The sequence below is a fragment of the Homo sapiens genome, chromosome 7 (genome assembly GCF_000001405.40).
Source record: "Homo sapiens chromosome 7, GRCh38.p14 Primary Assembly".
Taxonomy (NCBI): Eukaryota; Metazoa; Chordata; class Mammalia; order Primates; family Hominidae; genus Homo; species Homo sapiens.
In genome coordinates, this window is record NC_000007.14 from 92,480,889 (window position 1) to 92,506,779 (window position 25,891).

Below are 25,891 nucleotides of genomic sequence, written 5' to 3' on the forward strand. Positions count from 1 at the left end.
GGAGGACCCTTGCGTAGTGAGGAAACCTCTTTCAGCCCATATAACAGCATGGTGGTGCAAGATATGGAAGGCATATTTAGAGTCAGTATAAATATTGACGTGTAGTCCCTTTGCAAGAGTGAAGGCCCGAGTTAAGGCAATCAGTTCGGCTTGCTGAGAGGTAGTGGAGGGGGGCAGAGCAGTAGCCTCAATGATGGATGTGGAAGATTCTATAGCATAGCCTGCCTTTGCTGGTGAGTGGCGATCAGGCCTGGTGGAACTGCCGTCAGTAAACCAAATGTGATCAACATGAGGAACAGAAAAGAAGGAAATATGGGGAAATGGGGTGAATGTCAGGTAGATCAGAGACATACAATCATCAGGGTCAGGTGTGGTATCCAGAATAATGTGGGAGGCCAGATTGAAGTCTGGGCCAGGAAGAATGGTAATTGTGGGAGACTCAACAAAGAGTGAATACAGCTGAAGGAGCCGGGGAGCAGAAAGTATATGCGTCAGGTGTGAGAAAGAAAATAGATTTTGGAAGTTGTGAGAGCTGTAGAGAGTGAGTTGAGCATAGTTTGTGATTTTGAGGGCCTCTAAAAGTATTAGGGCAGCGGAAGCTACCGCATGGAGACATGATGGCGAGCCTAAAACAGTAAGGTCAAGTTGTTTGGACAAAAAGGCTACAGGGCATGGTCCCGGTCCTTGTGTAAGAATTCCGACTGCACAGCCCTGCACTTCGGCTGTGTGTAATGAAAAGGGTTGGGATGAGACAGGGAGAGCTAGTGTGGGAGCAGTCTCTAAAGCTGTCTTCAAGGAATGGAAAGAGGAGTGGGGAAAGGATTTAGAATCTATGGGGTCAGCTAGGTTTCCTTTTGTGAGTTTATATAATGATTTTGTTAGGATGGCAAAACCAGGTATCCAAAGGCAAAAGTATCCAACCATGCCTAGGAGGGAAAGGAGTTGTTGTTTTGTAGAAGAGGTTGGGATTTGAGAGATCAGTTGGAGACGCAATTGGCAGGGAGAGCACATGTGTTTTCATGAAGAATTATGCCGAGGTATGTAACAGATGGAGAAGAAATTTGAGCTTTGGAGGGGGATACCCGATATCCTTTGGAGAACAAATGTTGAAGGAGCAGGAGGGTGTCTTGTTGAGAAGATTTAAAGGAGGGGCTACAAAGTAGAAGGTCATCAATATATTGAATAAGGTGAGAAGCAGAGAGGTGGAAAGAAAGTAAATCATGAGAAAGAGCTTGGCTGAAGTAATGAGGGCTGTCCCTGAAGCCTTGCGGCAGTACAGCCCAGGTAAGCTGCTGGGACTGATGGGTGTCAGGGTCAGTCCAGGTAAAAGCAAAGAGAGGCTGGGATGAGGGGTGCAGGGGAATAGTGAAAAAAGCATCTTTAAGATCAAGAACGGAATAGTGAGTTGTGGGGGAAGGCATTGAGGACAAAAGAGTGTACGAGTTGGGTGCTACAGGGTGGATAGGCAAAACAATTTGGTTGATAAGGTGCAGATTCTGAACTAACCTGTAAGACTTATCTGGTTTTTAGACAGGTAAAATGGGGGAATTGTATGGAGAGTTTATAGGTTTTAGAAGCCCGTGCTGTAGCAGGCAAGTGATAACAGGCTTCAATCCCTTTAAAGCCTGTTGTGGTATGGGATACTGGCATTGAGCAGGGTAAGGGTGATTAGGTTTTAATGGGATAGTAATGGGCGTGTGATCGGTTGCCAGGGAGGGAGTAGAGGTGTCCCATACTTGTGGGTTAAGGTGGGGGGATATGAGAGGAAGATATGAAGGAGGCTTTGGGTTGGGAAGAAGGGCGGCAAGGAGATGTGGCTGTAGCCCAGGAATAGTCGGGGAAGCAGATAATTTGGTTAAAATGTCTCGGCCTAATAAGGGAACTGGGCAGGTGAGGATAACTGAAAAAGAGTGCATAAAAGAATGTTGTCCAAGTTGGCACCAGAGTGGGGGAGTTTTAAGGGGTTTTGAAGCTTGGCCGTCAATACCCACAACAGTTATGGGGGAAAGGGAAACAGGCCCTTGAAAAGAAGGTGATGTGGAGTGGGTAGCCCCTGTATCGATTAAACAGGGGATGGACTTAGCCTCCACTGTGAGAGTTACCTGAAGCTCAGTATCCGTGATGGTCCAGGGGACTTCTGAAGTGATCGGGCAGTGTCAGTCTTCAGCTGCTAAGCCGAGAAGATCTGGGAAGGAGTCAGTCAGAGAGCCTTGGGCCAGAGTTCCAGGGGCTCTGGGATTGGCTGCCGGGTGAGTTGGACAGTCCGATTTCCAGTGGGGTCCTGCACAAATGGGACGTGGCTTAGGAGGAATCCTGGGCTGCAGGCATTCCTTGGCCCAATGGTCAGATTTCCGGCACTTGAAGCAAGATCCTGGGGGAGGTGGTCCTGGAGGAACGCCTGGCTGCTGCAGTTCAGGTGTTTTGAAGTTCTTGTTTGCTGGAGATGTGGCTGGGGTTTCTCTCAGAGTTGAGGCAAGGAATTGCAACTCAAATACGTTGCTACTTGGCTGCCTCTACTCTATTCTTGTACACCTTGAAGTGAGGTTAATTAAGTCCTGTTGTGGGGTTTGAGGGCCAGAATTTAATTTTTGGAGCTTTATTTAATGTTGGGAGCGGATTGGGTAATAAAATGCATATTGAGAATAAGACGGCCTTCTGACCCTTCAGGGTCTAGGGCTGTAAAGCCTGTAAGGGTTGTTGCCAGATGGGCCATGAACTGGCTGGGTTTTTATATTTGATGAAAAAGAGCGTAAACGCTAACTGATTTGGGAGAGGTCAGATAAAGAAAAAGGAGCATTAACCTTGACTATGCCTTTAGCTCCAGCCACCTCTTTAAGAGGAAATTGTTGGGCAGATGGGGGAGGGCTAGTCACAGAACGAAACTGTAAGCCGGACTGAGTGTGAGGAGAGGAGGTGATAAAAGGATTATAGGGTGGGGGAGCAGAGGCTGAGGAAGAATTGGGACCTGGCTCGGCCTGGTGAGGAGCAGCCTGGGGAGGAGGGGAGAGTTCAGATGGGTCTGTAGCAAAGGAGGATTCAAAGGACTCAGAGCTTGGGGTGGAGACTGAAGGAACAGACAGGAGAGAAAGAAGAAAGATTTGGGATGAGTCGCATTGGGAGCAGAGACTAGGGAGGGACCAATGTGTAAAAGAATGCCTGGACGTCAGGCATCTCAGACCATTTTTCCATTTTTCCACAAAAATTATCTAGATCTTGTAGGATGGAGAAATTGAAAGTGCCATATTCTGGCCATTTAAAGCTATTATCAAGTTTGTACTGCAGCCACGCAGTGTTGCAGAAGAAAATAAGGCATTTAGGTTTTAGGTCAGGTGTGAGTTGAAGAGGTTTTAGGTTTTTAAGAACACAGGCTAAGGGAGAAGAAGGGGGAATGGAGGGCAGAAGTTTGCCCATAGTGAAGGAGGTAAGTTTAAAGAGAAAGGTAGAGACACAGAGAAGGGGGTGGGTGAGCAGCCAAAGCAGGCGTCCCCTGCTTTTGCAGTTGACGTACCACCAAGGGAATGTGGGTGAGTGACCAAGGCAGGTGTCCCCACCGTGATCAGACACCAATGGAGTGTGGGTGAATAATCAGGCAGGCGTCCCCGCAGTGATTAAACACCAAGGGAAGACTGTCTTCCCAAGTCCGTGACTGGTGCTGGAGTTTTGGGTCCATGGATAAAATGTGTCTCCTTTGTCTCTACTAGAGATGAAAAAGAACTGGAATTGGAAGGACAGGGAGATTGAAGGGTAGTGAGAGAGGGAGTTTGAAGGGTAGCAAGAGAGGCTGGAGAAGAGAGTGAAAAGACTGCTTACCTGATTTGAAATTGGTGAGCTGTTCCTTGGGCTGGTTGGTCTGAGGACCCAAGGTTGTAGGTGGATGTCCTCACAGAGTGAGGGCAAGGACAGGGGACTGGTCTCCTGAAGGAGTCCTCCTATCCCAGGTTTTGGCACCAAATGTCATGAGCGTCCGTGTGAAGAGAGTCCACCAAACAGGCTTTGTGTGAGCAACAAGGCTGTTTATTTCACCTGGGTGCAGGCGGGCTGAGTCCGAAAAAGGAGTCAGCGAAGGGAGATAGGGGTGGGGCCATTTTATAGGATTTGGGTGGGTAGTGGAAAATTATAATCAAAGGGGGTTTTCTCTTAGGGGCAGGGGCGGGGGTCACAAGGTGCTCAGTGGGGGAGGTTTTGAGCCAGGAGAAGGAATTTCACAAGGTTAATCGCTCAGTTAAGATGGGGCAGGAACAAATCACAATGGTGGAATGTCATCAGTTAAGGCAGGAACAGGCCATTTTCACTGCTTTTGTGATTCTTTGGTTACTTCAGGCCATCTGGATGTATACGTGCAGGTCACAGGGGAGGATGGCTTAGCTTGGGCTCAGAGGCCTGACAGTCGTTTTATCTAAATCAGCGTGAGACCAAGGACCCTGGTGTTCCTCCAGTCATTGGAGCCATATCATTTGTGTTCTTAAGACCAAAATACATGGGCAAAGATCCTACTTGATTCTTACAATGTAAAAATCTCCCAGTTAGTAAACAAAGGCCTGGTTTGAGTCACCACAATATAGTCATGGCCCCTGACCTAATTCTCACACCTAGGTCAGACTAAGAATGAAGAGCCAGAGAAAAGGCCCTGTCATCACATCACAAGTTCTTGCCATGAATCTTCTTTTCTCCAAGCCTTCTTCACAGGATCCAAGGGCACCAGACACTCTGGGGATTATCAGACACTGTGTATGCACTAACACTAATTCTTGGAGACCCAGAATTCCACTGTGACTTCCCATCAGAGTGAAAGCATTACTGCTACATTGAGGGAGTAGCCCTTACAAACAGTGGAGACAGGAAATCTTCCAAGGGAACAGAATTGTTAAGTAACATATCTCCTCCATTCTGTCAGGAGGTAGAGATGTCTGATATAAAAATCTATGCTGATTCACAGATAGTGGCTAATAACATAACCAGATGACCAGAAATTTGGAAAGAACACAACTGGGTATGAGGTCTGGAGGAAAAGTATGCCCAGAGTTCTTGGAATGGGCCCAAAGAATCAGAATATTTGTGTCCTATGTGAATGCTCAGTTAAAAGCCTTCAGTGCTTATACTAATCAAGTGGTCAAGATGACCTCTGTATGGATGTCAATCGGCTGTCTTTTCCAGCCACCCCAGTGCTTAAGATTCATGGTCAAATTGGCCAAGAGTGCAGGGATGTGGCCTCCACAATGTGGACTTCCCCCTCACCACAGCTGACATGACAACCCAGCTATATTGACAGCCTACTTGTCAGCAGCAGTGACCAACCAGGCAAGTCCACACCCAGGAGAGAACAGCCCAAGTCTGACGGCAGGTTGATTACATCTGATCCTCTTCTATCACAGAGCAGGCAGCAATTTGTCCTTCCTGGAGGGGACACACCTTGGAATTGTATTTGTTTTGTATGTTCTCCAAATTTTTACCACCACCACCCTTCATGAACTTACTAAATGGTTTTTACATTGTTTGTTAGGCTATCCCATAGACATTGCTTCTGATCATGAAACTCACTTTATGGTGAAAAGAGGGCAGGTATGTCAGCTCAGTGATTTCATCAAAGAACTGAGAAACAAAGTGCAATGCAGGGTGACGTGTCTCAGTTTAATACTAGTGATCCACTAAGTCTTTGTTTCTATCCCCTGGGATTCTGAGCTTTGCTGGTTTAGAACCTTGAACCTCCTGGGAGCAAGTGATCCTCCTACCTCAGCCTCCCAAGTAGCTGGGACTAGAGGCATACCATCATGCATGGCTAATTTTTTTTTTAAGAGATGGGGTCTCACTATGTTGCCCAGGCTTACTTGTATATTTTAATTAATGTTCTCCTTTTTGCTGTTCCCTTACCCCATTACTATATAGTTAAGATATTAGATACGCAGATTGTATTGATGGTGGCTAACTTTATAATTTAGTTCATATATGAGAGAATATCAAGATAAAATCATAACTGGAACTAGGAGAGGAATGGATGTCATTTAAATATCTTGGGCTTGGAGCTGGATGTAGTATAGTAGAGGGATGTGATTTCATTTCTGGTTGAGCGGATAATTAAATGTATTTGAATTATGTGTAAATTTCACATTTTTTGATATACAAAGAACAGATAATTGTATCAGTAGGTAATAGGATATTTTATTTCAAAACAGTGAAGAAGCTGCTAAGCATAAAATTTGTCAAATGCTACAAAGGTGATGAATATACAACTGGGAATTCCAAGAAATTTAAATTTAATTACATTCTTTATTATCTTTTCCTCAAAAGAAATAAATTAGTTCCACCATTTGGCTAATATTATTTCATTAAAGACTGAATTTAGATTTTAGGAAATAAAATATGGAATCTGTTATAATGTCCCAATTTATACTACAGTATTAATCTCAATCCTGATCATTACATAATTATAGCATTTACCAATCTGTGATTTTATAAATTAACCAAATTTGTTAAATTAAGAAGAAATTCATAGACACCATTTTTTTCCTGTTACAACATATGGAAAAGCCATCAAAAAACTTAACAGAACCAAATCAAAAAGAAGTATATTTTATGCTAAAGTTACTTTCTGTCCAGGTCGAAACATTGTTCCACTTTGATTTTTTCTCCTCTTTGGATTTTGAAAGCTTTCATATCTGAAAAAAGAAAGAGATAATTTAATATGTATAAATACTACCATTACAAAACAAAAGATAATGGATTGTTGGCAAACACAATTATATTTTAAGAAATGAACGGGAAATAACAAACTAGAAAAAAAAATTCCAGTCACAGAAATTAAAAAGAATTCTTACAAATAAAGTTGCACTCCAATAGAAAACGGAGCAAAGGGGATGAAGAGACAAGTTAGAAAAGATAAAATACAAATGACAATGAATAATATGAAAAATTATAACTTCTACACTTTAATCAAAGAAATGTAAATTATTGATATCATTTTTCTAAAATCAAAAGGGCCAAGTTTAGAAAAATACTGCAACACACAATGTTAGTGATGGTGCAGTATATCTGGCAGGCAATTTGGCAATACATTTCAAAAGCCTTAAAAAATGTGAGCTCCCTGTTATACAATTCCACCTCTATCCTAGTGAAACAATTAGATATGTGCATATATTCAGCTGCAAGAATGTTCATTACCACATTGCCTGGGAGCAATTTAAATGTCTAAAAATTGGATATTGTGGCATAGCTACACTATAAAATGACATTTAAAAACAATAAAGTAGTTAACATTTAAAATGTAAAACAATTTTCAGGATGTATGTGGATAAAGGGGGACTGCTATATAGCAATATGTACAGACTGTTCTTACCATAATAGGAAAACATATATAAGCATATAAACAAATATGCTTTGGGAGGTGGTGGGCTTAACAGAAATTTGTTTCCTTATTTTTCCTTACCTCTGTTTTCTGATTCTTCTTTAATAAATACATAGCACTAACGTATGTACACATACATACATACTTCAAAGTACTGCAAAATTAGATAACAAAAGGTAGCAGCTTCTAAAGACCAGGAATAAACATCTCTTAAATTGAATCACACTGAATCATTGACCTAGAATGGTTCCCAGTCCATGGGTCTCAGATGCATAGGTGGCCATAAACTCAATTGCAAGGATCCTTTAAATCCAATGTATAACAAATGTGGTCCACAAATGAATAAATCTGAATGTATTTAAATGTTCTTGAGGTCAATAAAATATTAATATAAATTATTTTGAAGGCAAAACAGGTATTTTTATAACAAAATTTTATAAACTATACATTAGAATCACTTTCAACTTTTAATTTTCCTTCTTATTTCTTCGAAGTTACTAAATTTTTTTTTTTTTTTTTTGAGACACAGTCTCGCTCTGTGGCCCAGGCTGGATGGAGTGCAGTGGTGCAATCTCGGCTCACTGCAACCTCCACCTCCTGGGTTCAAGCAATTCTCCTGTCTCAGCCTCCCAAGTAGCTGGGACTACAGGCACATGCCACCACACCTGGCTAATTTTTGTATTTTTAGTAGAGATGGGGTTTCCCCGTGTTGGTTAGGCTTGCCTCGAACTCCTGACCTCAGGTGATCCACCTGCCTTGGCCTCCCAAAGAGCTGGGATTACAGGCATGAGCCACAGCACCCAGCCCAAAGTTACTAAAATTAAATGAGTCCATTATGAATAATTCAAATATAATCAAATGAACTGGTTAATGAAAACTCAATTTTGACTTCTGTACTTCTGACATTTTGGGGTTTTTTAATGCATAGCTACGACACATATTTTTTGAATTAGCTTTTAAATATTCAAAATATTTTTATTTTAAACACGAACTTTAAAGGTTTAAGTGTAATACTATGTCACTTGTAATAGTAGCTGTACTTCCAAAACAGAATCTGTTACTTACAGCTCAGCAAAATTCTTCCAGTCATCTTCACTAATGGATGGTCTTGTGTGACCAAGTGCAGTCATTAAATGTGACTGACTAATAGCCAGTCTGGTTTTGATTGGTCCTGGTTGGTTCATGGATTCGTCCTCCTTAAGTAAAAAAAGAAATTGACGAAGAGTTAAATTAAGGATGTAAAAAAAAATGTGGTAGTCCAGTTGTTACTTCTTATTGTCAGTTTTTTCAAGAGACCATACGTTCTCTTCCTTATAAGATAATGAAACATTGAAAGCAAGGAAGCACATAACCATGACTGAGTTAATGTGTTCTGGTCCCTTGTTTATAAATATAGCTCGTTTATAAGTCAAAGAAATATATATCAAAAGGGTGAAACAATTTTTAAGAAGTTTTAACAATTATAATGAGGGGGAAAAAGCCATACTCCACTTTGGCTCCGGTATCTGCCTTTGATAATACTGATATCTGCCCTCAGTTGATCTCTTTGTTCTTGTGTAAGTTCTTGGCAACCCTCTTGTGAAGCTGTCCTTAACACTGGAGGCTGTGAAAACAACTGGTCTTTCCCAGGAACTCCAGGCAAATCCTGAGTCATGGAGCTTGGTGCAGAGAGACATTGTGAGCTCTGCATGGTAAATTGTAGTAATGAAAGATGGAAGGAAGAGGGGGAGAGAAAAAACTATGTGTTTACCAAATATAAAAATTAAACATTTTAAGCAATAAAACATTAACATAGATAAGTATACATGTTAATTAACTGAAATTAAGCAAGCTGAAAAGTTGTTCATCTTTTATAAAGGTTCACTGATACCTGTGTTATAGAACCACCATCAAGTGAAAATTGCCATAACACAGGGTAGGTTTTTTTAACTTTGTTGCTTAAATCCAACACACTAATGCCCAAGGACAGGTTTCTTCATTTTCAGAAAGTAAAGTTATACTAAGTTTCTGGGACATTTCTAAATAGAATAAATTAAAAACAGAATTAAAGACTAAAATTAAACCACCACCTTACTGTTCTTGGGAATAAAAATGAATTGCTTTTATATTTTTAAAGTCTGAGTTAGGCTAGGCATAGTGGCTCACACCTGTAATCCTAGCACTTTGGGAGGTCAAGGCACGCAGATAGCTTGAGCCCAGGAGTTTGAGACCAGCCTGGGCAATATGGTGAAACCTCGTCTCTACAAAACATACAAAAATTAGCTGGGCATGGTGGCATGTGCCTGTAGTCCCAGCTACTCAGGAGGCTGAGGTGGAAGAATCACCTAAGCCCAGGAGGTCAAGGCTGCAGTGAGCCATAATTGTGCCACTGCACTCTAGTCTGGATGATAGAGTGAGACTGTCTCAAAAAAAAAAAAAAAAAAAAGCCTAAATTAATAAAGCAAATGTACAAAAAACCAGGAAACATATAGATAACCAAACACATGTACAGATGTTACATGTACCAATAAAATTACAGTGAACCACTATTAATTTTTAGAAGAGATGTTGAATGCTAGTAGAACAGTGATACTGCCCACATTTAATCAAAACACTTTCCTGTTGAAACATTATCAGTACACTTCATTGTGCTTACTATGCAGCAAAAGTATCACAGATAACACTTTGTTTTCAGGAATTTCTTACATTATTGTATCAAATTATTCATTATCCTCAACTGTTCATGATAACAGAATTTAAGTTTACTATAAAATGGAACTGCTCCTAAAGATGTTTTAAAGCCACTAGGTAAGAGAAACCTCAAAGAAACCAAAGGTAATCACAACCACGCGCTACTTTGGTTCCTTGCTCCCAGCCCTGTCTTGAAAATCTTAACAAGGAATGCAAATTACCAATTAGTGTAAGCAAGAAACAAGACTATTTTACTGAAGAACCAACCAACCAGGAAGAATATGTGGGGCTGGTTAGGAGAGAAATCACTGCAACTTTACACCAACATATAGCTTTATATTTCAGAACTGTATAATGATGACTGCACAAGATACCAAATCAGAAGAGGTTCCATTTCCAAGTTCTGATTCATAAGAGCTTCCAAAGTAGAGCCGGTACATATTGAATTTTGATTCATCTGGAAGGATCTCGGACATCTCTAAAGAAACAAGGGACTGATCTAAGCCACATTCTCCATCTCCAGCTGAATCGTCAGAGCCACTGCTATGGTTAAGAAAGACCATTGAAGACAGACTTAGGTCACTATCAGAGCTGGAACTTCCATCCTAAAATACACAAAAGGACAACCAGTTTAAAGATGTAAACAATTTTAGTCTCAGAAATAAATAATAACATAGATAGCATTCTATTAGAGCAATACAAGAAACTTAGAAGCATTTTTCAAAGAGCTCATTAATTCTCTAACGGTTTTGAGGCACATGGTAAAAATTTAACTATTAAAATTATAAAGACAAGATAGAATGTGTAGATAATTTACCAACCATCCCCCAAGAAAGTCTGTAATGAAGCTAAGACTCAGACCTCTGGGCTTTATTTTTATGTCTCTGACTTTCCATTCATACTTTTCTACTCCAAAATGATGAATCAACCATGTTATAGAGTGCTTTCTCATTATAGAGAGCTCTACAAATACACACCTTTCTGGTAGTAAAGGGAGAGGGAAGAACTTCAATGGCTTGCCAAAATAGCAAAAACCTAGGGAGTTTCTGATTTAGAAACTGTAGGTTCTGTAGACATTCCAAACAAATGTGGTAAAGAAGAGTAATAGAATAATCCTTCCTAGAAAATATATGGTAAAGTCTATAATGTAACAGTTCAAATATCTACTGTAAATATTAAAATCATAATACTGTCTTTAGAGAAAAGGCTGATGCTAGGGCTGGGATACAGAAAGTACAAGATAAACCAAGAATATTTTTCTTTTTTGGGGGCAGGGTCTCATTCTGTCATCCATGCTGGAGTGCAGTGGCACAAGCATGGCTCACTGCATCCTGGATTTACTCAAGCGATCCTCCTGCCACAGCCTCTCCCAAGAAGCTAGGACTACAGGTATGTGCCACCATGCCCAGCTAATTTTTAAATTTTTCACAGAGACAAGATCCCACTCTGTTGTCCATAGTGGGTACAGTTTGTGCAACCATGATTTGGTCTCAAACTAGGCCCAAATGATCCTCCTGCCTTGGCCTGCCAAAGTGCTGGGATTACAGGCGTGAACCACTGCACCTGGCCAAGAATAACTTACTGTATCTGGAAGTGAGGAAGTGATTCAAGAATGATGAGGACATGTCATAAAGATACAGGAGCCATACAAAAGGGGCTCCTATTGGCCAGATTGGAACAATGTGAGCTTCAAAACAACAACTTTAACTGATTATTTTTTAAAAGTTAAAGTACAAACAAACAAAAAACTCTAATTATTTTTGTTTGTAGTATTTAATTCATGGTATCCCAATTTAAATAATATCCTTGCAAACACCAACATGTTTTTGCCAATATTAAGGTAATGTTAAAGAAACAGACATCAAACTTCATAATTATAAATTCTCTGCAAAACCCATATTCCAACTATGGAACATTCAACTAAAGGTAAATTTATGTTTCTATACAGTTTTACCAAAGTTGTTTAAAAAATAGCATTTTTTAAGGTGGAAATTTTGACATTGTACTTCTTTTATCACTCATAAAATGTCATAACAACTTCCTCATATAACTTGCCTGGAGTCCACTCGAGAGCAGCATTCCATGTAAGGCCTCCAATTGGGCATTGTAAAGTAAAGCTTTCAGATCAGCTCCAGTAAAGGAGTCAGTTACTGATGCTACATGCTGAAGGTCAACATCATCTGCCAGAGGTAGAGAGTCACTGAGGACATTTAAAATTTCAAGACGTGACACCTGAAAGGAGAAAAATTTATTTAACAAATAAAAAATAAAATTAAAAATATTATCTTAAATTGTGTATCTTATGATTTTCTTCATAAATTAACCTTATATATCTAAAAAGCTTTATAAGTAAGTTGAGAAATGTACCAACAGCCTACTATTTATCTTCCTTGGAATTTTTTCCCCAACAGAAATAATATATATAGGAAAATGAATGAAAATCAAACACTCTTAAGGCTGGGCATGGTGGCTCACGCCTGTAATCCCAACACTTTGGGAGGTTGAGGTGGGAGGATCACTTGAGCCCTGGAGTTCAAGAAAGCCTGGGCAACACAGGGAGACCCCATCTCTATACAAAAATTAATAATAAAATTATCTGGGCATGGTAGCGTGTGCCTGTGGTCCCAGCTACTCGGGAGGCTGAGGTGGGGAGATTGCTTGAGCCTGGGCCATAGAGGCTGCAGTGAGTTGTGATCGTACCAGTGTACTCCAGCCTGGGTGACAAAGTGAGACCTTGTCTGAAAAACAAAAACCCAAAAACCTACAAAATATTCAGTGTAAATAATTTCTTATTCACACAGTGCTTATTTTCTAGATTTAGGCAAGTGTGCCAAGAAGGTATTTCAAAAGGAAAATCTAAATAATTTAAATAATAGCTACATGTAACATATATACAGATACTTTATACCTTTGACTATTCATTTGTCTATCTGTTCTTTCATTCATTTATTTGTTTGCTTCTAAATTGGAGAATAAGAGTTGGAACAACACAGGACAAGGAAGAGTTGAAAAATTATCTCTATGAAACCTGCTTACATGCTTACGATTCACATGCTTGATTCTGTATCAGAGTTTTTTTTTTGACAGGATAATGGAAGTATGTAATCTTTGAACAGAAGATAATGTGAAAATATAATACATTAGGTTTCTTGCATTTTTTTTTCCCCAATCAGCCAACACAGAAGGATTACAAAGTTTTCAGACTTGCACTGGGCCAAAAAAAGGCTTTGCATCTAATTCAGAATCTTTTTATGCTTTGAGCAAACAGTGGCTAAAGCTTTTCCCTAAGAAAGCTGGTCTTCTAAGGACAATTGCCATTACCTGGCAGAAGTAAAGCTCACAAGGAAAGAGTGTAGCATTTGTTGGGTTTTGGACTCTAAATATGAAATTGTCACCTGATCAGGAGGAGGACAGTATACACATTTATCTAGTCGACCAGGCCTAAGCAGGGCAGGGTCAATCAAGTCAGGGCGACTAGTAGCAGCCAATACATAAACACCTAGAGGAAAAAAGAACATTTTTTTACCAAAATCTGATGACATGATGACATTTTGTTATAACATTCTATTTCTGTATTTATAATTATTACCCTGTAAGCCTTCTACTCCATCCAACTGAGTCAGCAACTGGTTAACTACTCGGTCTGTAACTCCTGTATTATCATGACCCCGCCGAGGAGCAATGGATTCAAATTCATCAAAGAAAAGAATGCAGGGCTTTGCAGCCTGTGCTCTGGGAAAAACAAACAACATTTCATATTTGAATCAGGCTTCATAGTTGGCAAAGTGATTTCATATACATATATGAATGTATTTATTTTATGTATTTATATATATTTATATACTTCTTTTAATTTTTACAACAAACCCTTAAAGAAGGCAAGTTGTATGTAATTACATATAAATACATATAAATGTATTTATATATATTTATGTATTTATTTTAATCTTTACAACAAACCCTTAAAGAAGGCAAGGCATATGAAATTACCCTTGTATTCAGTAAACTGTTGAGGTCAAGGTGTTTATTAAGACCCATGCCTTCTGGATAGACTAACAGGGATCAAAACAAAAACTGACTCTTAGTCAATAAGTCAAACACTTTTGATTCCTATTACAAGTAACCATTTTTATATTAATATATACTTATTGGCCACCCTTCCTTCTTTTGTGAAATGCCTATTCATTTATTTTGCCCATTCAAAATTTGGAAAGCTCATTATGTTGGTACTGTTTTGTAAGGGCTCTCTATAAAATATATTTTATTTCTTTTACTTTTTTAATAATTTGAACTTTGACTTTGTTTTATTAATTTATTAACAAATTTTAATTCAAAATAAGTGAATATTAATTCCATATCTGGCAACAGGTGGACTAGATGTCTGGCGAATAACACCTAATATAAAACACCTGTCACGGTGATTGAAAAAAATCAACAGCTATCTCATTAAATGCATGGCAAGTAAAATATATCTTCTGGGGCCAAAAATAGACCAGAATTATCTGCTACTTGAATGTTTGGCAAAACTCTCCTAGAAAACTGAGTCTGATGTTTGATTTGTGTAAAGACTTCTTTAACTTTTCTAACTCAATTTTTACTAAGTTACAGGACTACTCAGATTTTGTTTCTTTTTTGCTCAATTTTGGTCAATTTTGTTTTTGTCTATGTCACCTAAGTTTTCAAATGTATTGGCATGAATATTTTCATAATATTCCCTTATTATCTTTTACATTTCTGGGATATCTTTAGCGATGTTTCCCTTTTTATCCCTAAAATTGTTTATTCATGCTTTCTTTTTTCTTAATCAAACTTGTTAGAGATTTGTCAATTGTACTCGGTGTTCAAAAAATAAATCTTGGCTTTGTGAGCTTCTCTGTTTTGTGTTTCATTAAACTTCATTCTTATCTTTATTATTTCCCTTTTAACATATTTTTTAGTTTATATCTATAATTTTCCTAATTTCATGAGATAGATACATAAGTGGTTAACTTCTAACCTTTTTTCTTTTCTAAACATTTAACACTATAAATTTTCCTTGAAATCAGTTTTGCAACATCTAACAATTTTAATGGATAGTATTTTCATTATCGTTTGCTCCCAAATATTTTCCACTATAACTTCTCTTTAACCCAGGAATTACGTGGAAGAGGTTTATTTTGTTTATGCTTTTTCCTGGTAAACTCGGTGGTGAATACATGAAGTATTCATTTTATTATTCTTCCTTAAGCTGCATATGTATTTTATGTATATTCTCTTAACTGTATACTTTATAATAAAATTTTTGGAAGAATAAAACAGTAACTTTTATTTTAAAACTCCCCATAATGCTATCACATTTGAATAATTATTTTCATCCTTAAATACCATCTTCTGTATTCATATACAGTTTTTTAATATATGCAAAATAGTTACACTCACTGAAATTAAATTGGCCAGATGGACTCTTGACTTATAAGAGATAAATTAGAAACTGGGGGAAAAAAGAATTTAGAACTTACAAAATTTAGAGATAAATTAGGGGCAATTATTTGCTTCATATAAGAATCTACTCTGAGATTTCTTTGAATAACCACTTCGATTCCACTTTGAGGAGTATTTCTATTGTAAAACAAAACCAAATAATTTCCAAAATTTAATATCTAAAATGTTTTGTATTATTTGATGAAATAGAGAATCCACGTCCTCTAGCTTATTAATAATTCACATAAACCACAGGTTTCAAATATCAGTTCTTCAAAAAACAAGACCAAAAAAAGCACTGATTGATAAATAATAACAGAGTCAGTTACTTTAAAAACATTCATAGGCTACCAACCTAATAAAAATATCCCGAACAGCTTGTTCACTTGCTCCAATGTATTTGCTGAGTAACTCTGGCCCCTATTGGGTAAAATAAGAGTTGAGATAAAATTATTTAAAAAGAAAATATAAATTTGGTTTCTGACTAAGTCTAAATGAATCATGGAAATCTTTAATATGATTAAATGGATGTCTTTTATACATTTTTAAAATTAATGTGTGCTAGAATAAATATCATACCACAAGTTCTATGCTTGATGCTTCTGCCCAGAACATTTTCCCCCGGATATTCTCATGGCTTGTTGCTTCATTTTATTTAGATCTCTGCCCAAATACCACCTCTTCAGAAACCCTTTCCTGACAAGTCCATCTATGACTCACTCCAGTTACTCCAAGCCTCCTTACCCTGCTTTTCTTCCTACATAGGACTTACCACCACCATCTGACAGTGAATTATATACTGAATGTGTCTATCTGCTTGTTGTCGCTTTCCACTAGTAGAATGTAAACTCCAAAAAGGCAGTTTTGTTCACTGCTGAATCCCTTGTGCCAGAAACAGTGTCTGCCACATAAGTATTGGATAATAGTTTTTCCAAGTGAATAAGTGAATGGTGTAAGAAGGGACAAAGTCCCATCTATCTCAAATTTTAAAAAATGTGTAGAGATATGACTTTAATCAGCATCTTCAATTACTGAAACAATGTATTTTCATAGGAGTTAAAGAATATATCATTTTTAGAACATGTGGGAAAAGGCCAAAAAAAAAAAAAGAGAATATATAATCTTCCCTAAAAGCCAACTGAAAAACCTTTCGAAATAAATTTCCCTGCATATAGCAAAATCAATAATGAGAATAGTCTTTCCTTAAATTGGGATCTTAAAAAAAACCTGAATAGGTCCTAAAGTCATCTCTAGTGAAAAATCACTATCTCCAGAAGACCAACTACTGATCAGGATATGTGACCAAAATAAGGAATTTCTAATATTCAACCACATAAATATCTATTAACATAATAATATTTAATTACATTTCCTCAATACAGTCAGAGAACTATAGGACTAGAGGAGGGAACAAGAAATAACTAAGGCAAGACCGGGCACGGTGGTTCTCGCCTGTAATCCCAGCACTTTGGGAGGCCGAAGCTGGTGGATCATGAGGTCAGGAGGTCGAGGCCAGCCTGGCCAACATGGTAAAATCCCGTCTCTACTAAAAATACAAAAATTCACCGGGTGCGGTGGCAGGCGCCTGTAATCCCAGCTACTCGGGAGGCTGAGGCAGGAATCACTTGAACCCAGGAGGCAGAGGTTGCAGTGAGCCGAGATCATGCCACTCCACTCTAGCCTGGTAACACAACAAGACTCAGTCTCAGAGAAAAAAAAAAAAAAAAAAAAAACTAAGGCAAAATAACAGGAACAAGGCAACAGCCTGGCACTTTTAGTTTCTCCGTCATTGCCAGTTCTCAAAAAAACACGACAAAAGAGTAATTTACAACTGGGTAAAACCCAGTTATACATTACTAAACTGAGCTGGGCACGGTAGCTCACGTCTGTAATCCCAGAACTTTGGGAGGCCAAGGCGGGCAGATCACTCGAGGTCAGGAGTTCAAGACCAGCCTGGCCAACATGGTGAAACCCCATCTCTACTAAAAATACAAAAATTAGCCTGTAATCCCAGCTACTCGGGAGGCTGAGGCAGGAGAATAGCTTGAACCCAGGAGGCAGAGGTTGCAGTAAGCCAAGATTGCATCACTACACTCCAGCCTGGCCAATAGAGTGAGACTCCATCTCAAAGAAATAAAAATAAATACAGAAACAAATAAATAAATTACTAAACTGATTTATAAATCAAGTTTGAATAAGGCTAGAATAATACACGATTCCTTTGTCTTGGAATCTAATTGCCCTTTGTTAAACTAATATTGCTGATGTCTGAAATTACACAGCTAAGATACTGGATCTGCGACCACAATGACACACCAGTGGTGGACTGTGAAGCATTACCCAAAATGATCTGCTAGCATGCCCCTTAATTACCACACTCACCTTATACCTGAAAAAAACTTAGACCTAGTCTCACTTTGACAAAAGCAATGGTGAGATATAGTCAAAAGTAACAGAACCATAAAAACCCCAGCTTCCTGCCTCAGTATGGTCTCCTGCCTCTAGTTGTCTACTCCCTTTAAGAATGGTTTGCCCTTTTATCTGAGCATTTATGTATAATTCTGTTCACAATGCATGAAGATTGCCTTAAGCAAGAACATAATAAGCCCTACAAGAGAGAGGTGGCTCATTACTCAATTTCATACAACTTTTAATAGATGGATCGCTGCTCCCACTAGCTTTCCAAATGTGAGACTAGCCCACAATTGAGAAACATAATGGTGTTGGTAAAGATGTGGAGAATCAGGAACCCCCCACACTGCTAGTGGGAATGGTGCAGTTGGTGTGAAAGACAGTTTGGTGGTTCTTTGAAAAGTTAGAGAATTACCCTAAGACCCAAGAATTCTACTCCTCAGTTTATACCCAAGAGAAATGAAAACATATCCGTGGAGAAATTTGTGCATGAATATTTACAGCAACATTATTCATAATAGTCAAAAGGTAGAAACAATTCAAATGTTCACCACTGATAAGTGGATAAACAAAGTATGGTAACATTATTCAGTCATGCAAAGGAATGAAGTACTGATACATGCTACTACCTGGATGAACCATGAAAACATTACATAAGTGAAAGAAGCCAGACAAAAAAGGTCACATATTGCATGATTTGTTTTATATGAAATATACAGAAAAGGCAAATCCATAGAGACAAAAAGCAGATGAATGGTTGCCAGGGGATAAGCAAGAGGAGGAGTGGAATGAAAAAGTTTTGAAATTAGAGAGAGGTGGTGGTTGCATAGCATTGTGAATGCACTAAATGCCAGTGAATTTACACTTTGAAATGGCTAACTGCATTTATGTTAATTTTACCTAAATAAAAAAAGAAGATAAGTAGACAACATACCTTGACACTTATAAAATTCATTCTACTCTCTCGTGCAATTACCCCAGCTAGTAAGGTTTTTCCTGTTCCAGGCGGACCATACAACAGTATTCCTGTTCTTTGTCGTATGGGCAAGTTTGCAAATAATTCTGGATACTGAGAAACAAAAAAAAAAAATATGAAAAAGAGCTCAAGTCTAAACAGAAATGACTAAGTAGCAGCTAAAGATCAATGTATAGAAAAAAAATTCAGATGGTAATCACGACCATCTTTCTTTAGTAACAGCAAGTACAACAGTAGAAAATACAATTCCTACTAAAAACTGTAAATGAACTCAAAGGAACTACGACAAATTTTTTCCAATTAAGAACACATTCTATATAAAATGCATATAACTGCATCAGAACTTCTATTTTTCCTGTTTTATTAAAAGTACTACATTTAAAAAGTACAAACCAATCTTTTAACAAGTATAGTGCCTTTCATGGATATGCTTCATGGGGCAAGTTATGAGAGCTGTGTACATTTAAATCTATTCAATCAAAGATAGTAAAATATCCCAAGAGTCTCCAGGCTGAACAAATAATCGACTGCTTCTCAAGTTACCTTTTAAGGCACCACTGCTCAAGAACAAGAGAACTTTTTGAACAGGTGAGCCAAACATGAGGCTACTGTCTGCAATATCCTGGTCTCCTTTATTAGGTATGCCTATTTAGTTCCCTCTATTGAGAATATTCCCACTCACCTCTACCTCTGCTCCAATCTGAAAGAAGCCCAAAGTCAGCAGTTACGCATATAGTCTCCATGTACTGCATCTGGATGTACTGAATCTCCATGTACTAATGCTTGATGCCCCATCCCAGCATCGGGGTCATGATCCTGCTAGCTAGTACTTCCATACCCATGTTCTCTCACACTGGTTTTAACAGTCCTGGGCTGCAATCAACATGTCCCAGGCCCCAGTGGCCACTGTTCCCAGGAGTTGCCATGCAGCAGGCTCCTTAACCCAGTTTTTTTTCTCACTCCTTTGCATGGGTCCCTGATCTCATGCAATGATCTTTGCCTCTCAGATCTCTGATTAAAACACACTACCTCCTAGACTCTACCATCTGATCTTCTGAAGAACAATCTACATTTGTCTCCTTTATCCTGCTATCTGCCTCGTCTATGCCTGCCAAGTCTGCTTTTCAAGGACTGACATCCCGGGTCTGGAAATCTAGCTTCACCCATCAGTCCTGTGAACCTTGATAACTCTTCTACCTCCTAGTTTATTCCTATCCATTTCTGCTCAAATCCCAGCAGACAGTTCATCTTGCTTTACTACAATTTGAATGATTAAAGCAAACAGAATTATACATCAAAATGTATTTACTGTAACTATCACCTCAGCTTTCCATTATAAGTTTCTTATCATCAAAGACTGCATCATACACATTAAAATCTGTCTGCCTGGGCAACATAGCAAGACTCCGTCTCTAAGAAAATTAAAGAGTTGGCCGGGCATGGTGGTTCATGCCTGTAGTTCTAGCTACTGGGGAGGCTGAGGCAGGAGGATTGCTTGAGCCCAGGAGTTTGAGGTTGCAGTGAGCTGTGAGTGTACTCCAGCCTAGATGACAGAGTGAGGTCTCAATTCTAATAAAAAATTAATTAATAAAATTAAAATTTGTTAAAGTACCTAAAATAGTGTTAAGACATTTATTTGGTAACTCAGTAAACACTTGTTGACTCACACGGAGATTGGGCAAGCTGACACATAAAGCCAAAGCCAATAATACAGTGGTTCTTCTGGGAGTAAGTATTCACTTTTTCTTTTTTTAAACATACCTTGGCAGGTAACTGGATAGTATCCATGAGTATCTGCCTAACTTCATGTAACCCACCAATCTTGTCCCAACCCAGGTCTCTAGGTTTATGCAGGTTGACACTTCGCAAAGACGCAGGAAGAAATCCGCGGAGAGCCTTTTGGAAGTCCAATGTTGTTAAAACTAATTCTGTTTAAAAATAAACAAAACTTCTTTTACTAGTTATATTCACTATATGAATTTTCAAAATATGCCATCATCTTAGCTGGAAACACTAATTTTCTACTCAAATAACTGCTTATTCAAATACTACAATGGAATATATTTAATTCTTGTCTTACTACAATTACATTTCTCCACAATAGAAAGAAGATTCCAAGTTCAGGTTTTAATAGTAAAACATACTTTCTCTGGTGGATATACTCTGACGAGAGAGTCGAGAATGTATGGCTCGATCCACAAGTACTGTAAAATCTCTAGCCACAAACCCGCCAGTTTCTTTAGCTACATGCTGCAGGTCAAGATCGGTGAACTTGTTTATATCACAGTCCAATTTATTTTTTATTACATTACACAGAATTTCACATCTTTGTTCCTAAAGAAAAAAACACAAAATTCGAATTTCCAATTGTATTCAACTGTATATTTTTGAATGTATATTTGGAGAAAATCAGGTTGACAAATCTATAGTGACAGAAAGCAAATTGGTAGTTGTCTGGGGATGGAGCAGGGGAGGAATGGGTAGTAAAAGGGCTAGGAGACTTCTGGAGTGATGAAAATGTTTGTTTCCTTAATTGTGGTGATGGTTTCATGGCATCTACATATGTTAAAACTGATCAAATTGTACACTTTATGTGAGTTTGTTGTACTTAAATTATATCTTAATAAAGTTGTGAAAAAATCACATTAATAAATGATTGTCATTTCTTTCTCCAATAAGAAGCATTTTTAGTAATATATGGTTCCTTTAAGAATTTTTTTTTGGTTCCTATAAAACTTATTTCTCAAAACATATTCATATTCAATGACCAATATCTCAAATACCATTCTATTATCCTTAATAATAGATATAATACCTTTGTTCTTCAATAGCAGTTAACTAGCACAGGGTCTGAATATTTAGGGTAGATGCTAGGTGAAAATTTTAAAGAATTTAGAATATGTTTGCCAGTCCTGGAACATATTTCTTTCAGCTCACTACCACTAAAACCCTCATGAGTTCCCAAAGGGGACTAAGTGCCATTATGTGATGGTGGAAAAAAAAAGTTTAATTAATGAAGTGTTTAAAAGCCATCTATCTATTTCTCTCTGTTCTTTCTCATTCAAAGAAATACCATTTTCAAAAAAGTCATTTTCTTGGAAAGCGCATACTAACATTTCAGGTGGCTATAAATTATAATTTATGCCTCTAGCACAATATGCACCAAATGTTGACTTACATATCCTTAAAATCATTAAGAGAAGCATAAATTTAAAGCCACGAATTACTAATAAAATTGAAAAATAATTTCTATAAAAGGGACATAATTCAATAATCCTTACAAGTAGTGTATTACCTGATTAGGAGGCTGAATGTGTTGGACGCACTGAAATATGTGAACTCCTTGAGCAGAAACAAGTAAAGGATGTAGAGATTGCTGAGACTGACTTGTGGCAATCAGTGCAACCAAACTTCCCATGGAGATAAACTCTTTTATCATATCATTCAAAGCTGGAATTAAGCAATATAGTGCAAAAGCTTAGGAAAAGTAAACATGAAATTTAAAAATTATACATTCATTAAAAATAATGATACTCTAAGGTTGACCTTTAAGGTGCAGTATGTATGGTATCGCTCTTTCATGTCTTTAAAAAATGAATCCATCTAGTTATTCCCTGATTTATCTATTGAGGACCTAATAAATCTAATGGAGACACAAGAGGTACTGCAAACTCAGACCATATACTCAGAGCAATGTCTAGTGAGGTTCCCTACTCGTGGATCTTATGAAATAAATGAACGAATGATAAAAATTTGTCTCTGAAATAAATATTCTGGAAGGGTGATAAATTTCCATACTGTATTGTTTGTTAAACAAAATACAGTTCATATTCCTATGACTTCCAGAACAATCTCTTCCTACCCCAGGTCTTATAAGGTTTCATATGAGAAGGTCAGAACTGAAATAGGCATTAATAATGTACATCTGAGTCCTGTCCTGACCTAGAAATCTGCACCACTCCCTTAAACACTGGACTAATAGATCTAGTATAAGAACAGTAACAGATCGAGTGTAAGATTAGTAACACCAGTCCTATAGATGCTATAGATTTCAAAATTTGAGATTAACACACTAGGTAATAATAATCCAAGCCACTCTTAGTTGCATTTTATATCTATTTCAGCTCTTAAGAACCTTGAAGCAAGTCAATGCTGCCAAACCCTCCAACCTCACCTCCCTAGCACTCCTCTCCTTGCACTCTAAGCTCCAGTCAACAGGGTATTCCCCAACATATCATTACTTCCTGTACCTCTGTGCTTTTGCCTGTAGACCACGCTTCCTTTGCTTCTTTATTAGCATGAAATTGGTTCATGCTAATTTCTACTCTTCCATCAAAACTCGGCTCAGTTGTCAACTCCTCCAAAAAGCCTTCCCTGATAACTCCTTATCCCACCTCACCCCCAGTTTAGGTTATATGCTCCTACACTACTCTGTGTATACTTCTCGCATAGTGTATGCTGTCATCTCCTTGTTGGTCACCCTGGTCAAATTAATCTCTCTGAATTTCCATTTATTGACCTGTAAAGCCCAGGGAATATCTTCATGTAGAATACAAAGCAATCCAAGAAAGCCAAGAAAGGGCTGGCTACTCATACACAGTAGCCATCATTATTAGTATCGTTCTGCGCTAATACTGTTCACCCTTCTTTTTCTCCTAGAATTTGAGAATACAGACTGTGCACAAGCATTTGACAAATATTTGTCAAATGAACAAAAGAGTAAATCTGTAAATTAAACAATAAGTAAGGGAGAATGAAAAACCCTAAAGGACTAACCATGAAGTTGCAGAATTTTCACACTGTTTTTACTCTACCAATTTTGCTATTACAGTCTATAGGACAACTGTAGAATGCCATCAGGGGCCTCAAACACAACACTTAACATAACACATATATTATTCTCTGAAGAGAGTAGATTTATTGTTAAGACTAAAAATGCTGACTGACAAAAGAACAAGACCTTAAGCCAGTGGTGGATGCATTTACCATGAGCAAGCCGCTGGCTCTGCACCGCATCAGGACTGTGCTCATGTTCCGGGACAGCAGGCAGTCCAGCAATGAGGTCAAGGTCATCCAGCAGGACAACAGATGGCTGCATCCACACTGCCTCTGAGAAAGCCACCTCTAGGGTTTTTTGTATGTTTTCAAGCCTTTTTCCTTAATACAGAAGATATGAAATGGTTTCAGTATCATTTCAGTGCTGGGAAAATTCAGGTTGTCCTTTTGAAAGCACTAGAAAAGCTCGATATTGATTTAACTATAAAAATTTGATCTATATTTTATTAATATACCCATCACAAAAACTTGTTCATCAACATGGTTCAATTAATACAGTCTCAAAGCGTGCAGTAAAGTATCAAATTTTATAAAACTCAGAAAAGGAGGCCAGGTGCAGTGGCTTATGCTAGTAATCCCAGCACTTTGGGAAACCAAGGCAGGCAGATCACTTTGAGGTCAGGAGTTTGAGATCAGCCTGGCCAACATGGTGAAACCCCATCTCTACTAAAAAATACAAAAATTAGCCAGGTGTGGTGGCATGCACCTGTAGTCCCAATTACTCGGGAGGTTGAGGCACGAGAATTGCTTGAACCTGGGAGGTGGAGGCTATAGTGAGCCGAGATCGCACCACTGCACTCCAGCCTGGGCTACAGAGCAAGACTCTGTCTCAAAAAAAAAAAAAAAGAAAAAAGAAAAGGAATATGCTACTATAATTCCTGTATGCATGTATTCATTTATACCCAGTTTCATCCCATTGAGAATTTTAGATGGCTTACAACAAAATAAAAAAAGTAGGATGTGGGAAAACATAAGTGAGAGTAAGGGATCAAGATTCATTTAAAATCAAATGCAAATGCATCTGCCTAGAGATCCTGGAGTTGCTATATTTGAAACACAAATTTGGCTTCAAACTTCCTGGTGAGTTACAAAGTTTAAATTTACAAAGAACAGGAAATACACAAGTTCATGATTAGTTGGAACTATATGACAGCGGTACCCATGGGGGAAAAATTAACTGTTCAAAGTAAAATCTTCCCAATATTTTTTAATTGAATAGATAATAATGTAAATGTTAAGGACTTTAAAAGTACAAAAGTGTTATATGGTGAACTGTAATTCTCCTCATTGCTGTCCACAGCCTCCTACTTTCTCTCCCCTGAAGCAACCATTCTCCCAGTTTTCCATAGCAATTCAGAGATCATTTATACCAATTAGAGTATATTCTAAGTACTAATTTTTCAGAGTGGTGTCAGTGAGCACTTCCAGAAATGTAGTCTACAAAAAGTTCTGGCTAGAAAAAAAAATAGGCCTCCATTAAATATGGAGAGTTTTAGAAATTTTATCAAAAACATTAGAAAGCCAAAGAAATTTTAATGACTAAATGATAAACAGAAAAGTTAAAGACTAGATGATATGTGTATTTATTAGATTGACAGCATTATGTATAACATTCCTGTCTTTCTAATGAAAAAGGGATTTATATAGAGTGTTACCATACTCATACCTCGTAAAGCTTTACAGTCAACTCTCTCCACATGGGCATCCAGTTTGTCAAATGCTTCTTTACAGATTGCTTTGGCTAAAGTTGATTTTCCACTTCCCTAGAAAATAATTGCTTTATAGGAATTCCCAATATATTCAGTCACAGAAATAGTTCCTGTCATTGTGGCAACCACCAAGATTCAGCCTCAATTTTATACAACCTCTTCCAAAAAAACAAAAGAAGAGGAGAGAATACTTCCCATCTCATTTTATGAGGCCAGATTTACACGGATAGCAAAACCAGACAAAGACAACACAAAAACAGAAAACTGCAAACTAATCACTTTCAAACTTAAATGGACAAAAGCTCAACAGAACATTAGCAGATAAAACTCAGCAATGTAGAAAGAATGATACACCACAACTACGTGGTATTTATCACAGGTATGCAAGGCTGGTTCAACATTTGTAAGTTACTCAACCCTATCAACACCTAATAGCCTAAAAAAGAAAAACCATATAATTGTATCAACTGACACAGAAAAAGGGCATGG

General features: G+C 38.0%; 2 protein-coding genes across 8 annotated transcripts in view; one reads left to right on the forward strand and one right to left on the reverse strand.

The window, feature by feature from the left end:
* Positions 1 to 14,881, forward strand: part of GATAD1 (GATA zinc finger domain containing 1) — a 48,288-nt gene extending 33,407 nt beyond the window's left edge. For 2 of the 3 annotated variants that reach the window (XR_927494.4, XR_927503.4), the window contains one exon: positions 10,355 to 14,881. The gene's annotated coding sequence lies outside the window, so the exon portion shown is untranslated. The remainder of the gene's footprint in view (positions 1 to 10,354) is intronic. The other variant, XR_927500.4, reaches the window with a different exon arrangement.
* PEX1 (peroxisomal biogenesis factor 1) overlaps positions 6,137 to 25,891 on the reverse strand; it is a 41,496-nt gene continuing 21,741 nt past the window's right edge. For 3 of the 5 annotated variants that reach the window (NM_000466.3, NM_001282678.2, XM_047420473.1), the window contains 14 exons: positions 25,360 to 25,456; positions 23,844 to 24,014; positions 22,153 to 22,307; positions 21,002 to 21,191; positions 20,619 to 20,785; positions 18,816 to 18,950; positions 15,825 to 15,889; positions 13,599 to 13,741; positions 13,405 to 13,508; positions 12,065 to 12,241; positions 10,384 to 10,614; positions 8,826 to 9,023; positions 8,405 to 8,535; positions 6,137 to 6,653 (listed from right to left, as the gene is read on the reverse strand). In NM_000466.3, coding sequence (NP_000457.1) covers positions 6,569 to 6,653; positions 8,405 to 8,535; positions 8,826 to 9,023; positions 10,384 to 10,614; positions 12,065 to 12,241; positions 13,405 to 13,508; positions 13,599 to 13,741; positions 15,825 to 15,889; positions 18,816 to 18,950; positions 20,619 to 20,785; positions 21,002 to 21,191; positions 22,153 to 22,307; positions 23,844 to 24,014; positions 25,360 to 25,456 — 2,049 coding nt within the window. In that variant the 3' untranslated portion in view covers positions 6,137 to 6,568. Of the gene's footprint in view, positions 6,654 to 8,404; positions 8,536 to 8,825; positions 9,024 to 10,383; positions 10,615 to 12,064; positions 12,242 to 13,404; positions 13,509 to 13,598; positions 13,742 to 15,824; positions 15,890 to 18,815; positions 18,951 to 20,618; positions 20,786 to 21,001; positions 21,192 to 22,152; positions 22,308 to 23,843; positions 24,015 to 25,359; positions 25,457 to 25,891 lie in introns of those variants that run through there. The other 2 variants (NM_001282677.2, XM_047420472.1) reach the window with 2 other exon arrangements.